This window comes from Homo sapiens, chromosome 17 (assembly GCF_000001405.40).
Source record: "Homo sapiens chromosome 17, GRCh38.p14 Primary Assembly".
Taxonomy (NCBI): Eukaryota; Metazoa; Chordata; class Mammalia; order Primates; family Hominidae; genus Homo; species Homo sapiens.
Genome location: NC_000017.11, coordinates 1,339,956 through 1,354,722, shown reverse-complemented (window position 1 = coordinate 1,354,722; position 14,767 = coordinate 1,339,956). Strand labels below are relative to the sequence as shown.

The window sequence follows — 14,767 nt, the reverse complement described above, 5'->3', positions numbered from 1 at the left end:
CCACTGCACTCCAGCCTGGGCGACAGAGCCAGACTCCGTCTTAAAAACAAACAAACAAAACTTTTTGAAATAAGTGAACTATTGCCTAGAACTTGGAGGTATATTTTTTGGTGATGGTTTAGGATGGAAGTTGTTCTATGTATTTTATTAGTCGATATGTATATTATAGCATATCAGTAGCAGGCTTAAAGCATAGTAAGAAGTAGTGTTCCACATACCTTTAAGTTAATTTTTATTGTATTTGCTTTTTCTTTGCATTATCATTGTGACTATTACAAACTGGAATAACTGAAGAAAAGATTGCTGTCTAGCATGTCATTTCTAATTCTGATTTTGGACTTAATTTTTATAACACTTCTATTGAAATACCTTTAGGTTGGCAAAAGCAGCTTTTGATGATGCAATTGCAGAACTGGATACGCTGAGTGAAGAAAGCTATAAGGACTCTACACTTATCATGCAGTTGTTACGTGATAATCTGACACTATGGACTTCAGACATGCAGGGTGACGGTAAGCAAGCACGGAGTGAAACAGGCACCTCTTTCAGTTGCAGGATTTGTTTGTACTCTCTTTAGACATTCCTTGGCTTGTCGTTATATCAAGCTAGAATTTAGATTCACCGCCTGCCCTCTATGAAATTGTAATTGCTGCCTTTATAGGAAATGGTGCTACAGTACGGAGTTCCATTTTGGGAACTTAGTTTAGCTCTTCCTTTACACTGTTTCAAAGGTTGAGGACAGGAGGAGTGGAGAGCAAGCAGTTTATTTTATCTTCATTCAATTCAATTTTAGGGGGCTGAAGTTAAGTGTATTTAAATCCAGATGGTATCAGTAGGTATTTATGAAGTTTTTCTCTTTGTTGAAATATTTTATCTAAAAGGGAACTGGTTTCCCATTTCCCTCTGGGATTCTGTAGAGAAATTGAATGTTGGCCCTTGGGTCTCTTTTTTTTTTTTTTGAGACGGAGTCTTGCTGCGACACCCAGGCTGGAGTGCGGTGGCTCAATCTCGGCTTACTGCAAACTCTGCCTCCCGGGTTCAAGCGATTCTCCTGCCTCAGCTTCCCAGGGTAGCTGGGGTTGCAGGCACCCGTTATCACGACTACCTAGTTTTTGTATTTTTAGTAGAGACGGGATTTCTCCATGTTGGTCAGGCTGGTCTTGAACTCCTGACCTCAGGTGTTCTGCCCGCCTCAGCCTCCCAAAGTGCAGGGATTACAGGCGTTAGCCACTGCGCCCTGCTGTTTTTATTCTTTTCTTTTCTTTTCTTTTCTTTTTTTTTTTTTGAGATGGAGTCTCGCTCTGTTGACCGGGCTGGAGTGCAGTGGCGCGATCTTGGCTCACTGCAAGCTCCGTCTCCTGGGTTTACACCATTCTCCCACCTCAGTCTCCCGAGTAGCTGGGACTACAGGTGCCTGCCACCACGCCTGGCTAGTTTTTTGTATTTTTAGTAAAGATGGAGTTTCACTGTGTTAGCCAGGTTGGCCTCGATCTCCTAACCTTGTGATCCACCCGCCTCGGCCTCCCAAAGTGCTGGGATTACAGGCGCAAGCCACCGTGCCCGGCCTGTTTTTATTCTTAAGAGGTTTTCATTGCAAACGCTTCAGAGTATTTTAGTAAACTTAATTGTGATGTTGAGTGTGTGTTAATGTTTACTTTAAATACAGGAGCCCAAATTTGTTATGTTTGTTGATTTTAAAGGAAATTTTATTCTCTGTCTAGAGAATCATTTTGATCCATGGTAGATTGTTGAACAGGGATGGAGAAGAGGACAAATTAGTGTGATAGGAGTATTACAGGATAGTTTTACATTTGGTGGTGGTGGTGCTGGTAGGAGGTTGTAAACAAAGTCTGATGTCAGTTTTAGCTGCGGTTCCTTTAAGAATGTTTCTAAGGCTGTGCCGGGCGCGGTGGCTCATGCCTATAATCCCAGCACTTTGGGACGCCATGGCGGGTGGATCACGCGGTCAGGAGATCGAGACCATCCTGGCTAACACGGGGAAACCCCGTCCCTACTAAGTATACAAAAAATTGGCTGGGCGTGGTGGCGGGCTCCTGTAGTCCCAGCTACTCAGGAGGCTGAGGCCGGAGAATTGCTTAAACCCAGGAGGCGGAGGTTGCAGTGAGCTGAGAGATACGCCATTGCACTCCAACCTGGGCTACAGAGGAAGACTCCATCTAAAAAAAAAAAAAAGAGATAACGTTTCTTAGGCTGAAACATAAAACATATGTCGCGTTGCTTGAGGCTATCTGTAGTTTCTTTTGGGGAAACGGACCTGCTGTATTGTCTTTGGAAGTGTTATACTTTTTGAAAATGCTTCTGAAAGTGGGCACGTATGTGTCTTTTCTCTGGAAGGATCAAATCAGATTTGTGACTTTTGGGTTATGGTACTAAAGTGAGAATTAGGTGACTCAGCTTTTAACATTTACTAGCTTTATGATATGTTTAGGATTTGACTAGATCAGGATTGGCATGAGATATTCACATACGTAGGACTTACTTACACACTTGCAACAGTGCCAGATGGAGCCACAGAACACTTCCCAGCGCAGCATTTCAGGCAGCTACTCCCAGCCCTTGGGACTCAGAAATAATTTACCAACTGTGAACAAGTGGCTTCCAGCTGGAAAATCTGTCCTATGCCGGTTGCAGTGGCTTGTGCCTGTAATCCCAGCACTTTGGGAGGCCAAGGTGGGAAGATGCTTGAGCCTAGGAGTTCAAGACCAGCCTGGGCAACATAGTAAGACCCTGTCTTTAAAAAAAAAAAAAATGCCGGGTGCAGTGGTATGTGCCTGTAATCTCAGCTACTTGCAAGGCTGAGGCAGGAGAATTGCTTGAACCCAGGAGGTGGAGGTTGCAGTGAGCTGAGATCACGCCCCACTGCACTCTAGCCTGGGTGGCAGAGCGAGGCTTCATAGAGCAGGACTTTGTCTCAAAACAAAAAACAAAAACAACAGCCAGGTGTGACAACGCATGCTTCTCAGACGGCTGAGGTTGGGGGATCTTGAGGCTGCAGTGAGCTTCGATTGCGCCACTGTATTCTAACCTGGATGACTGAACGAGATGCCATCTCTTCAGGGAAGAAAAAAAGTTGTAACAACAATTATGAAGAAGAATGGTCAAACAGCTGTGGACTCGTAATGGTCATCCCCAGCTCAGATGCTAGTATCTCTCTGCCTGTTGATGGAGGGAAAGCATGCGGAGAGTTTGGGGCGCGGGATTGACTTCAGGAAATGATACACCTCTCACCTCTGGGGACATGTTTTTGAGAGTAAAAGTAATAAGTAATGAAAGTGACCTGACTTGAAAGTTTTTTCTGTGTGTGTGTTTTATTTTTTTTTTTTGAGATGGAGTTTTGCTCTTGTTACCCAGGCTGGAGTGCAGTGGTGCTCTCTCAGCTGACTGCAACCTACATCTCCTGGGTTCAAGTGATTCTCCTGCCTCTGATTCTCCTGCCTTATCCTCCCTAGTAGCTGGGACTACAGGTGTCTGCCACCACCACTCCTAGCTAATTTTTTGTATTTTTAATAGAGACGGGGTTCCACTATGTTGGCCAGGCTGGTCTCCAACTCCTGACCTTGTGATCTGCCCATCTCGGCCTCCCAAAGCGCTGGGATTACAGGTGTGAGCCACCGCGCCTGGCTGATTTTTTGTTTTGTTTTGTGAGACGGAGTCTCTCCCTGTTGCCCAGATTGGAATGCAATGGTGCGATCTCGGCTCACTGCAACCTCTGCCTCCTGGGTTCAAAGGATTCTCCTGCCTCAGCCTCCTGAGTAGCTGGGATTACAGGCGTGCGCCACCATACCCAGCTAGTTTTTTGTTTGTTTAGTAGAGGCAGGGTTTCACCATGTTGGCCAGGCTGGTCTCTAACTCCTGACCTCGTGGTCCACCTGCCTCGGCCTCCCAAAATGCTTGGATTACAGGCGTGAGCCACTGCGCCTGGCCATTTTTTTTTATTATTATTATTTTAATAAAAACATATGCTGGGCACAGTGGCTCATGCCTGTAATCCCAGCAGTTTGGGAGGCCGAAGTGGACGGATCACCTGAGGTCAGGAGTTTGAGACCAGCCTGACCAACATGGAGAAACCCCGTCTCTACTACAAATACAAAAATTAGCCAGGTGTGGTGGCGGGCACCTGTAATCCCTGCTACTCAGGAGGCTGAGACAGGAGAATCACTTGAACCCGGGAGGCAGAGGTGCAGTGAGCCAAGATCACTCCATTGCACTCCAGCCTGGGCAACAAGAGCAAAACTCTGTCTCAAAGAAACGAAACAAAACAAGAAAACACATTTGATACCAACTCATAACCAAGTCTGGATTACTTCTGTAGCTCATTATCACTGATAACCAAGAGTTGATTAATCAAAGTAGACTACCTGTCAGTCTATGTACAGAACTAAAGATAATCCTTATTCTTGGTTGTCGAGTACAGTTTTAGGAAATGGATCATCTTAAAATAGGGTAATACGGCCTGGTGCAGTGGCTCACGCCTATAATCCCAGCACTTTGGGAGGCCGAAGCGGGTGGATCACCTGAGGTCAGGAGTTCGAGACCAGCCTGACCAACATGGAGAAACCCCATCTCTACTAAAAATACAAAATTAGCCAGGCGTCGTGTCACATGTCTGTAATCCTAGCTACTGGGGAGGCTGAGGCAGGAGAATCGCTTGAACCTGGGAGTTGGAGGTTGTGATCAACTGAGATCGCGCCGTTGCACTCCAGCCTGGGCAACAAGAGAGAAACTTCGTCCAAAAAAAAAAAATACAGGGTAATACTTTCGCAGTTTTTAAAAATCTAGTGAAATTCGGCTGGGCGCAGTGGCTCACGCCGGTTAATCCCAGCACTTTGGGAGGCTGAGGCGGGCGGATCACGAGGTCAGAAGATTGAGACCATCCTGGCTAACACAGTGAAACCCCGTCTCTACTAAAAATACAAAAAAAATTACCCGGGCGTGGTGGTGGGCGCCTGTAGTCCCATTTACTTGGGAGGCTGAGGCAGGAGAATGGGGTGAACCCAGAGGCGGAGCTTGCAGTGAGCCGAGATAGCACCACTGCACTCCAGCCTGGGCGACAGAGCAAGACTCCGTCTCAAAAAAAAAAAAAATCTAGTGAAATTCATTTGTGTTCAATTCCTTATTGAGTCTGTAAATCAGTTGATTAAATTTGGTTAAGAAGAGTAATTTTCACTTAATTTTTATTAGGTGAAATACTTTTTATTTATATAATGCTTCCAGTCATGAAATAGTTCAACAGTGAAAAATTCAGGTGGTCTGTTGACATTCCGGTACAACTAACAAACTCTGAATACACAAATAATTGTGGGTACAAAGAAATTGTTCATCAGTTTGAGAAGTTGAATTTGTCAAAAATTAGAGTTTTTGAGATGGAGTATCACTCTGTTGCCCAGGGTGGAGTATAGTGGCGCAATCTCTGCTCACTGCAGCTTCCACCTCCCGGGTTCAAGCGATTCTTCTGCCTCGTCCTCTCTGAGTTGCTGGGACTACAGGTGCCCACCACCACGCCTGGCAATAATTCGTATTTTCAGTAGAGACAGGGTTTCCCCGTGTTAGCCCGGATGGTCTCAATCTCCTAACCTCGTGATCCACCTGCCTCAGCCTCCCAAAGTGCTGGGATTACAGGCCCGAGTCACCGCACCTGGCCTAGTATTACATCTTTTTTTTTTTTCCTTTTTTCGTGAGACAGAGTCTTGCTTTGTCACCCAGGCTGGAGTGCAGTGGTGCTATCTTGGCTCACTGCAAACTCCGCCTCCCGGGTTCACGCCATTCTCCTGTCTCAGCCTTCCTGGTAGCTGGGACTACAGGTGCCCGCCACCATGCCCGGCTAATTTTTTTTTGTATTTTTAGTAGAGGCGGGGTTTCCCCGTGTTAACCCGGATGGTCTCAATCTCCTAACCTCGTGATCCGCCTGCCTCGGCCTCCCAAAATGCTGGGATTACAGGCGTGAGCCACTGTTCCCGGCCTACATTTTTTAATAAATTGGTTTTGAAACTGCAATGGTGCCTGCCTGTAATCTCGGCTGTTCAGCAAGGTGAGGCAGAAGGATCACTTGAGCCCAGGAGTTTGACACCAGCTTGGGCAAGATAAAACTTCATCTCACAAAATAAAATACTACTTTTGTGACTTGGGTTCCGTGGTGAATATAGGAGAATCGTCATGAAAGTGGCAGTTTACTAGGATGTGACTTTGCATTTAGTTTAAGGATTATTTAGATTTTTTTGTTTTTTAAAGAGACGGTATTTATGTCTTTTAATTTTAGAATATGTTAATGTCTGTCCCAGCATGTTGGAACATAATTTCTTTAAAGGGAGGGATCATTGCTTTTTCTCAAGTGATTTTAGTCTCTTCACCCTGTGGTAAGAGGATTGTTTCATATACGAATCCATAGGTAGGAAATACATGTTCTCCCTGCCTGTTCCCCTCTCTCCAAAATGTAGATACACTGGGCAAAGAAACATAGCCAAGGAATCCTTTTTCCCCTAATATCTGTATGTCTTTCAAGAGGATATTACTTCCTTCTCAGAGTAGAAGGGAGGAGGAGTAGACAGATTGTTGCTTAGAGTGAAGTTTACACGAAGTAAGACCAAAGTCCGGCTCCTGTATCATTGTTTTCCTTTGTCCTGCTCTGTTGGTTTATTTTTCTTGTAATGTTGCTTTCATATGATTGTTCTCCCTCCCTTTTTCCTTGCAATATAGATTCCTAAAGGAAAACCCAACTCTTCCTTTCCTAAAAACTCTACTTTGTAAGTCACGTTCATGGCACAGTGAATTCCGCTTTCAGTTTTGGTTCTTCACTAATCATGCCTGCGTATGATCGTCCTGTTGCTTACAGACTCTGCCTGTTCCACCTTCCAGGGCGCTGACCTAAGCCTTTTCCGGCCTGCTCCTCCTGCCTACTGTGGTTGGATGTGATGTATATGACAGTGACATTTTTATGCCAAAGTTACTTGGAACTTCTGGCACATCTCATGGTTGCTTACAAGCGAGTTGTGTTCTAGTGTTTGTGTTAATGATACTTTGGCAGTGATTTGCTGTTAGAGTGAATGTTCCTATCATGTTTCCTACGTTTGAATACGTTATTGTCCTTTGGAGAACAGTTGGGTGCCCATCAGTTCTTTCATCCCTAAGCAATTTTTTTTTGCCTTTGCATATTTTTTTTCTGTCTTATGAATTAAAGATCTTCATGTATTTTAAGTAGTTTTAAAATTTTATACATTTTTTTGAGACGGAGTTTTGCTCTTGTTGCCCCGCCTGGAGTGCAGTGGCGTTCAAAGCTCACTGCAGAAATAGAACTCCCCCACCTCAGCCCCCCAAGTAGCTGGGACTATAGACATGTGGCCCCATGCCCAGCGTATGTAGTTTTTTTTTTTTTTGAGACGGAGTCTCGATTGTCGCCCAGGCTGGAGTGCAGCGGCAGAATCTTGGCTCACTGAAAGCTCCGCCTCCTGGGTTCACGCCATTCTCCTGCCTCCCGAGTAGCTGGGACTACAGGCGCCTGCCACCATGCCTGGCTAATTTTTTTTTTTTTTTTTTGTATTTTTAGTAGAGACAGGGTTTCACTGTGTTAGCCAGGATGGTCTCGATCTCCTGACCTCATGATCCACCTCTCTTGGCCTCCCAAAGTGCTGGTATTACAGGCGTGAGCCACCATGCCTGGCTCCAGCATACATAGTTTTTTACTTTTAGTTTTATTTATTCTTTTTTTTTTTTTTTTGAGACGGAGTCTCACTCTGTTACCCAGGCTGGAGTGTAGTGGCATGTTCTTGGCTCGCTGCAACCTCCGTCTCCTGGGTTCAAGCAATTCTCATGCCTCAGCTTCCCAGGTAGCTGGGATTACAGGCATGTGCCACCACGCCAGGCTAATTTTTTGTATTATTTTTTCAGTAGAGATGGGGATTTACTGTGTTAGCCAGGATGGTCTTGATCTTCTGACCTCGTGATCCGCCCGCCTTTGCTTCCCAAAGTGCTGGGATTACAGGCGTGAGCCACCGTGCCCGGCGTTATGTTCATTTTTTGTAGAGACAGGGCTTCACTGTGTTGCTGAGGCTGTAAGTGGGTTTTGAAGTCACACAGCAATGTCAAGCGTTTCCGCCGCAGAAGAGATTTGAAAACTACTGAAACCTTGATGCTGTGACATTTGTCATTTTGAGATCATTTAGGCTGTTTCAAAGCTGTACTCAGTGTAAATGCTTCATGTGTGTAGGCAGCTAGTTTGGTGTTATTTGTCCATCCTAATTAAATAATTTAACAAGCATTATGAATGGATAGTCATTTGAACATTTATGATTCTTGGGTTGATTTTTCATTTATTTTGTTTCAAACTAGTTAACTGTGTAGTAATTGTAAGTGGTTTTTTTAAAAAAGTACAAGTGAATGTAACTTTTACCTGTTACATCATTTTTAAGGGAAAAGCCTGCATGCTTCTTTATTTTGGCTGACTTGTTTAATGCATACTAATAGGTAGATGACCCTCCAACCAATAGGTGGCTTTCTGTTGCATGTCATAGTGCAGTTGAAACTCCTTAGGGTAATCACCCTCTTTAAAGGCAAAAGACAAATAGCATGAGTGAAGTGGTCCAAATGCCATTCTTTAATAACCTCAGTGGTCTGATTTACTTTGAGCATGCTGTGTTTCACTCTGAAGTAAAATCTGATTATAGTTTGGTGTATCTGGCCAAGATACAAAAGCTGAAATATTTATAACAGCAGAACCCCACAATAAAATACGATAGAACTTCTTGGCAACAGTTTATTGCTCAGTTAACTATTTTGAAGCATTTCTGATAATTAGCTTGTGGGTAAATTAGATTTTGCAAAAAGTTTGCAAAATACTCTTGATTCTTGAAGAGGTGAGGTTATTGAGAAAGAGTATTTTGACCCAAGATTTATGTGAAAGCTTGAATGTCATTTTAGTAAGATGGTTTCCTTGGCTGTCTACGTCAAGAGCTTATTTAGCGTAAAAACATTGAGTTGTACTGCGCATCAGTTTTTTTCATTCTGTTGACCAATAAATACTTTCAGGACCATAATCCCTTCTTGGCTTAGGCATCTCAGGTGTCAAGGATGATAGAAGTCCTTTGCCTGCGTTTAATACCAATTGTAGCAAGTAGAAGAGTCTTTATGCTTGGAATGACACCTTTGTTTGTGGCTGCCATAGCCTAATGTAGTCAATACGAAATAATTGACTTTTTTTCTTTTTTAACAGGTGAAGAGCAGAATAAAGAAGCGCTGCAGGACGTGGAAGACGAAAATCAGTGAGACATAAGCCAACAAGAGAAACCATCTCTGACCACCCCCTCCTCCCCATCCCACCCTTTGGAAACTCCCCATTGTCACTGAGAACCACCAAATCTGACTTTTACATTTGGTCTCAGAATTTAGGTTCCTGCCCTGTTGGTTTTTTTTTTTTTTTTTTAAACAGTTTTCAAAAGTTCTTAAAGGCAAGAGTGAATTTCTGTGGATTTTACTGGTCCCAGCTTTTAGGTTCTTTAAGACACTAACAGGACTACATAGAGGCTTTTTCAGCATTACTGTGTCGTCTCCGTGCCAGATGTGGCAAGATCACCATTAGCAAATGGAAATTACATTTGAAAGCCATTAGACTTATAGGTGATGCAAGCATCTAAGAGAGAGGTTAATCACACTATAGAGGCATAAGTGGTATCAGTTTTCATTTTTCTAATTGTTTAAACTGTGTTTTATACCAGTGTTTGCAAGTAATTGGGTGTTAGCTTGAGATGGTTAAAGGTGGTTTGGGGAGGGACTTCGTTGTAATGGTTTTGCTGTAAAAAATGTTTCCAACTCCGCTGAAATGTTGCTGAAAAGCATGGTGCTGGTAACAGTTCAACAATCCGTGGCTGCTCATTCTTGCCTACTTTACTCTCCCACTGAAGCAGGTTAGCGTTGAAGGTGGTATGGAAAAGCCTGCATGCCTGTTCAATTCTTTTGTTTCTTCTCCTTCCCCCTCCCCCTACCTCCTTCCCCTCACTCCTCCCCTCCTTCGCTCGCTCAACCTCTTTTGTTCAGTATGTGTAACTTGAAGCTAATTTGTACTACTGGATATCTGACTGGAGCCACAGATACAGAATCTGTATTGTTCTTACTGAAACACAGCATGGAATTAACATTAAACTTAAATAAAACAAACCTAAATTAAAAATGCCAAATATCGCGCCTCCATCCTTTATACTTCTAAAATAAAATCTCTAGTCCAAACACACTGACAGTATTATGTTTGCCTGAATGTGAAACATTCCTCCTTTTTTCTTCCATAAATAATTTGTTTGCTTCCCAAAGATGTATGTTTTGGAAAAAAATTGCCTGTAGTCTGGTTGTGAAGAACACTGAGTCAGTTGATGGTGTGTCTTGTCCTCCAGACCAGGCAGCAACATGGTATTTATTTTAATCATTAAAGTACAACATGAGTAGTACAAGGTGTAATTATGGATCATTTTCTAGCATAGTATTTCATACAACCAAATAAGGCTGAATGTCTTATAATAATTCTTAGAGGTAAAAACTGTGTGCCCTCTTCCTCCAGAGGCTAGTGGCAGTAGTGGAGAATTACTCAATCCTTTCTTAGTAATCCATACACACATTATAGACAGCAGGATAGCAGTCTCCCTTTCCAGAAACACTGTATAAGAAGCTTCTTTCCATAAACAGTTTATACATCAATGTGTATAGATACCTAGTTACTGTAGATCTTTTTATGTTAGGCATTCAGATGTGTCTCATTCTGACTGCGTAACATTGATGTACACCTGATTTTGTTAAGACCAGTTTGCTCCTTTTGGGCAGGTGCTGCAGGAAATACCCTTGGAACAGTTTTTGCTTAAATATTTGTATGTATCTGGAAGGTACATTTCTAGATTCCCTGTGTCAGTAAACATTTTTCAGTTGATAAATCCTTCCTCGTCACACTTGTCTTCTAAAATTGGATGTTGAGACTGCAAGTTTACTCTCGGTTTAAAGTGTTAGTAGCAGAGATTTAGGAAATGAACAGATCAGCGATATCCTAGTAGCGTTTAGTGAGTGCTGGCAATGAGAATAAACATGTTTTTGTGAGTTGCTTTTCCGAGAGATAGGGAGACCATTGAATATAATTATATGCTGCTGTTTGGAGCAACCTCCAAGAAGCTTTCAAGTTGATTTGCTCTGTTTCCAGCACACCTGCTACACTTAAAGGTCAAAATCCAAGGAATTCGTCAAGTCTGTTGCAGAGTTTAAAGAAACCACTCGGCTGGGTGCGGTGGCTCACACCTGTAATCCCTGCAATTTGAGAGGCCGAGGCGGGCGGATCACGAGGTCAGGAGATTGAGACCATCCTGGCTAACACGGTGAAACTCCGTCTCTACTAAAAGTACAAAAAATTAGCCAGGCATGGTGGCGCACGCCTGTACTCCCAGCTACTCGGGAGGCTGAGGCAGGAGAATCGCTTGAACCCGGGAGGCAGAGGTTGCAGTGAGCCGAGATCACGCTACTGCACTCCAGCCTGGGCGACAGAGTGAGACTGTCTCAAAAAAAAAAAAAAGGAAAGATCCTTATCAAAAATTGAAAGGCCGGGTGCGGTGGCTCACGCCTGTAATCCCAGCACTTTCGGAGGCCGTGGTGGGTGGATCACGAGGTCAGCAGTTAAGAGACCAGCCTGGACAACATGGGGAAACCCTGTCTCTACTAAAAATACAAAAAAATTAGCCAGGCGTGGTGGCGGGCGACCTTGCTGGGTGTAATTAACATCCAGTGACTTGGGAGGCCTGAGGCAGGACAATCGCTGGAAACTGGAAGGCGGAGCTTGCAGTGAGCCAAGATCGCGCCACTGCACTCTAATCTGGGCAATAAGAGCAGAACTCCGTCTCAAAAAAAAAAAAAAAAAAAAAAAATTGAAAGGGAGCCAGGGAAGCTGCAGAAAGGTGCCGTAGCCCTGTGAGGACGGTGTCACTCCCAGTTCCTGTATTTGTGGGCTGGAAAGGGAATTGCCCCCAAACTTTTCTGGTTTTGATTTGAGTCTTACTTTGAGGATCAGTCGACTTAAGTAGAAGTTTTTAGTTAGTTACAACTTGAATGTAGCTAATATGTGTTTTTAATTACAAATCTCAGTACTTTGCTGCCTTGGAAAACCCAAAGGCTTCCTACAATGTTAGAAGCGACAGTAAGTGGGTTTGTGTACATGCTCTGTTCCGGGTGGGTCCTCAGAACAGCACGTCTGCAAAGTTAAATTTCGGTCCTATAGGAAGATGGGGATGAACTTCCATCACTGAAAGGGGAAACTGGTGGGATAAATGGAGACATTAATTGGCTTCTGTCCCAGACAAATGCCTTGAGCCTTATAAATGAGACCCCAAATTAGCTGCTTCCTGATCCTAGGACAATAGAGGAGAGTGAGGCTTGCTGAAAAAGCGGGATAAAGGTGTGACCCCTGTGTTCTTTTGAAAATTGTAACAAGTAATAGTTCATGGAAAACTGGTGAAATCCTAGAGTGTGTCATTAAAGGAAGCCTTTGTGAGCACTGTGAGAGGAAATGGGAATGCTCCCAGATCCAACCTGGATCAGGAAAACCAAGCCCTGTGTTGTTTTATCCTGTTTCTTTGAGTTCGTAGGATTGTAATAGATACTGTTAATATTTAGCTAACATTGGCCGGGCGCGGTGGCTCACGCCTGTAATCCCAGCACTTTGGGAGGCCGACGTGGGCGGATCACGAGGTCAGGAGATCGAGACCATCCTGGCTGACACGGTGAAATCCCGTCTCTACTAAAAAATACAAAAAATTAGCCGGGTGTGGTGGCGGGCGCCTGTAGTCCCAGCTACTCGGGAGGCTGAGGCCGGAGAATGGCGTGAACCCGGGAGGCGGAGCTTGCAGTGAGCCGAGATCGCAGCACTGCACTCCAGCCTGAGCGACAGAGCGAGATTCTTGTCTCAAAAAAAAAATAATAATAGTTTTGCTAACATTGCGTACCAGCTTTGCACCAGGCACTGTGCTCGTTACTAAGCAATGTCTGGAATCTCACACGTAAGCGCTCAATAATAATCAGGTGAGCCTGCATTGTGCAGATGGGAAAAGCTGAATGGGAAGTAGTTAAGGAACTTGCTGAAAGCTGCATGGCTAATAATTCAAATACAGAATTCAGTTCATCTGTGTCACTGAAGAGTCTCATTAGGCCATACTACCTTTTGCTCTTCATTAAAACTATTTTCTTGAAATACTATATTCCCCCTTATTAATATATTCTAAAGTGATCATTTAAAGTATTTAAACTTTTTTTTTTTTTTTTTTTTTTGGAGACAGAGTCTCTCTCTGTCACCCAGGCTGGAGTGCAGTGGTGCAACCTCGGCTCACTGCAAGCTCCGCCTCCCGGGTTCACACCATTGTCCTGCCTCAGCCTCCAGAGTAGCTGAGACTACAGGCGCCCGCCACCAGGCCCGGCTAATTTTTTGTATTTTTAGTAGAGACCGGGTTTCACCGTGTTAGCCAGGATGGTCTCGATCTCCTGACCTCGTGATCCGCCTGCCTCGGCCTCCCAAAGTGCTGGGATTACAGGTGTGAGCTACCGCGCGCGGCCACATTTTCGAGGTCAGTACATGTTTCATGATTAATACGTGTCTTGGAAAAGCTGCAATACGCATATTCACCAGTGTATTAGATTTGAAATATAAATGATACAATTATTTAGAGCTCAGGTGGCTACTGTCCAAAAAGTTTATTTTGTAGGTTAAGGTTTTGGCAATTTTTGTTTTTTTAATTTAGCTTAATTTGGAAATTTAAAAAAAAAATTTACAATTGAGTACTTCATTTCAATTTACGATACTTCACCTTGGACAAATAGAGCCACAGTTTACATGGAGAACAGCGATTATGGGTTGTCAAGTTACCTCAGTGCCGTGACAGTTTTCTAGAGAACCAAAGCCTTAATACCTGAAGGTCATATTCGTTTGTAGCTGCTTTTGGTGGAGACATTTCCAGTGGGCCTGCCTTCTAGGAAACGGTCTCAGCTCCTGCTTTGGGGCAGAGCCTGGGTTGGCCCTTGTAGCACCAGTTCACTGTGCTGGACTGGAGGTAGCCGGCCTGCTGTGTATAAGGGGAGACAGAAAGTTATTTTTTCATTTTTATGTGAGACAGGGTCTTGCTCTATCGCCCAGGCTGCAATGCAGTGGCACGATCATGGCTCACTGACCTCAGCATCCTGGGCTCCAGGGATCCTCCTGCTTCAGCCTCCCGAGTCGCTAGCACCACAGGCGTGCACCACCGCGTTTGGCTAATTTTTGTATTTTTTGTGGAGATGGAGTTTCACCATGTTTCCCAGGCTGGTCTCGAACTCCTGGGTTTAAGCAATCCGTCCACCTCAGCCTCCCAAAGTGCTGGGATTACAGGCGTGAGCCGCCGCGCCCGGCCTGGAAGTGTTCTTGTATGCTGTTCCTGTATTTTTAAAGTAAACTTTTACTCAAGTGTAACGTAGAAACATAAACCAAACCAAAGGTGTATAGCTTCATGCATTTTCACAAAGGGAATGCACCATTTAACCACCGCCCACATCAAGAAATAGAACAGGACCAGCATCCTATAAGACCCCGTTATGACCCCCTCCCAGTGTTTACTCTCTTACCCCCAAAATGGAAACTAGTGTTTTATCAACTTCAGTTAGTCTTGGTAGTTTCTGAATTTGATAGAAATGGAATCATACAGTATTTTCTGGAGTTTTATCTGTCAGCGTGTTTGTGGTATGAATCCATGTCATTGTGATAATAGCGTGT

The 14,767-nt window shown here is 44.0% G+C and overlaps 1 protein-coding gene across 2 annotated transcripts in view, besides 1 other annotated feature; it reads left to right on the top strand.

The window, feature by feature from the left end:
* The window catches only part of YWHAE (tyrosine 3-monooxygenase/tryptophan 5-monooxygenase activation protein epsilon), a 55,948-nt gene extending 45,500 nt beyond the window's left edge, over window positions 1-10,448 (top strand). For both annotated transcript variants that reach the window (NR_024058.2, NM_006761.5), the window contains 2 exons: window positions 376-512; window positions 9,224-10,448. Coding sequence is in view for 1 of the 2 variants with exons in the window: in NM_006761.5 (NP_006752.1) it covers window positions 376-512; window positions 9,224-9,276 (190 nt within the window). In the remaining variant the exon portion in view is untranslated. The remainder of the gene's footprint in view (window positions 1-375; window positions 513-9,223) is intronic.
* Window positions 6,714-7,008: an enhancer, noted in NCBI's record as "tiled region #14526; HepG2 Activating non-DNase unmatched - State 17:Gen3'". NCBI's record gives its function as "activates a minimal TATA promoter and a strong SV40 promoter by Sharpr-MPRA in HepG2 cells {active_cell/tissue: HepG2}" and the evidence as "EXISTENCE:reporter gene assay evidence [ECO:0000049][PMID:27701403]".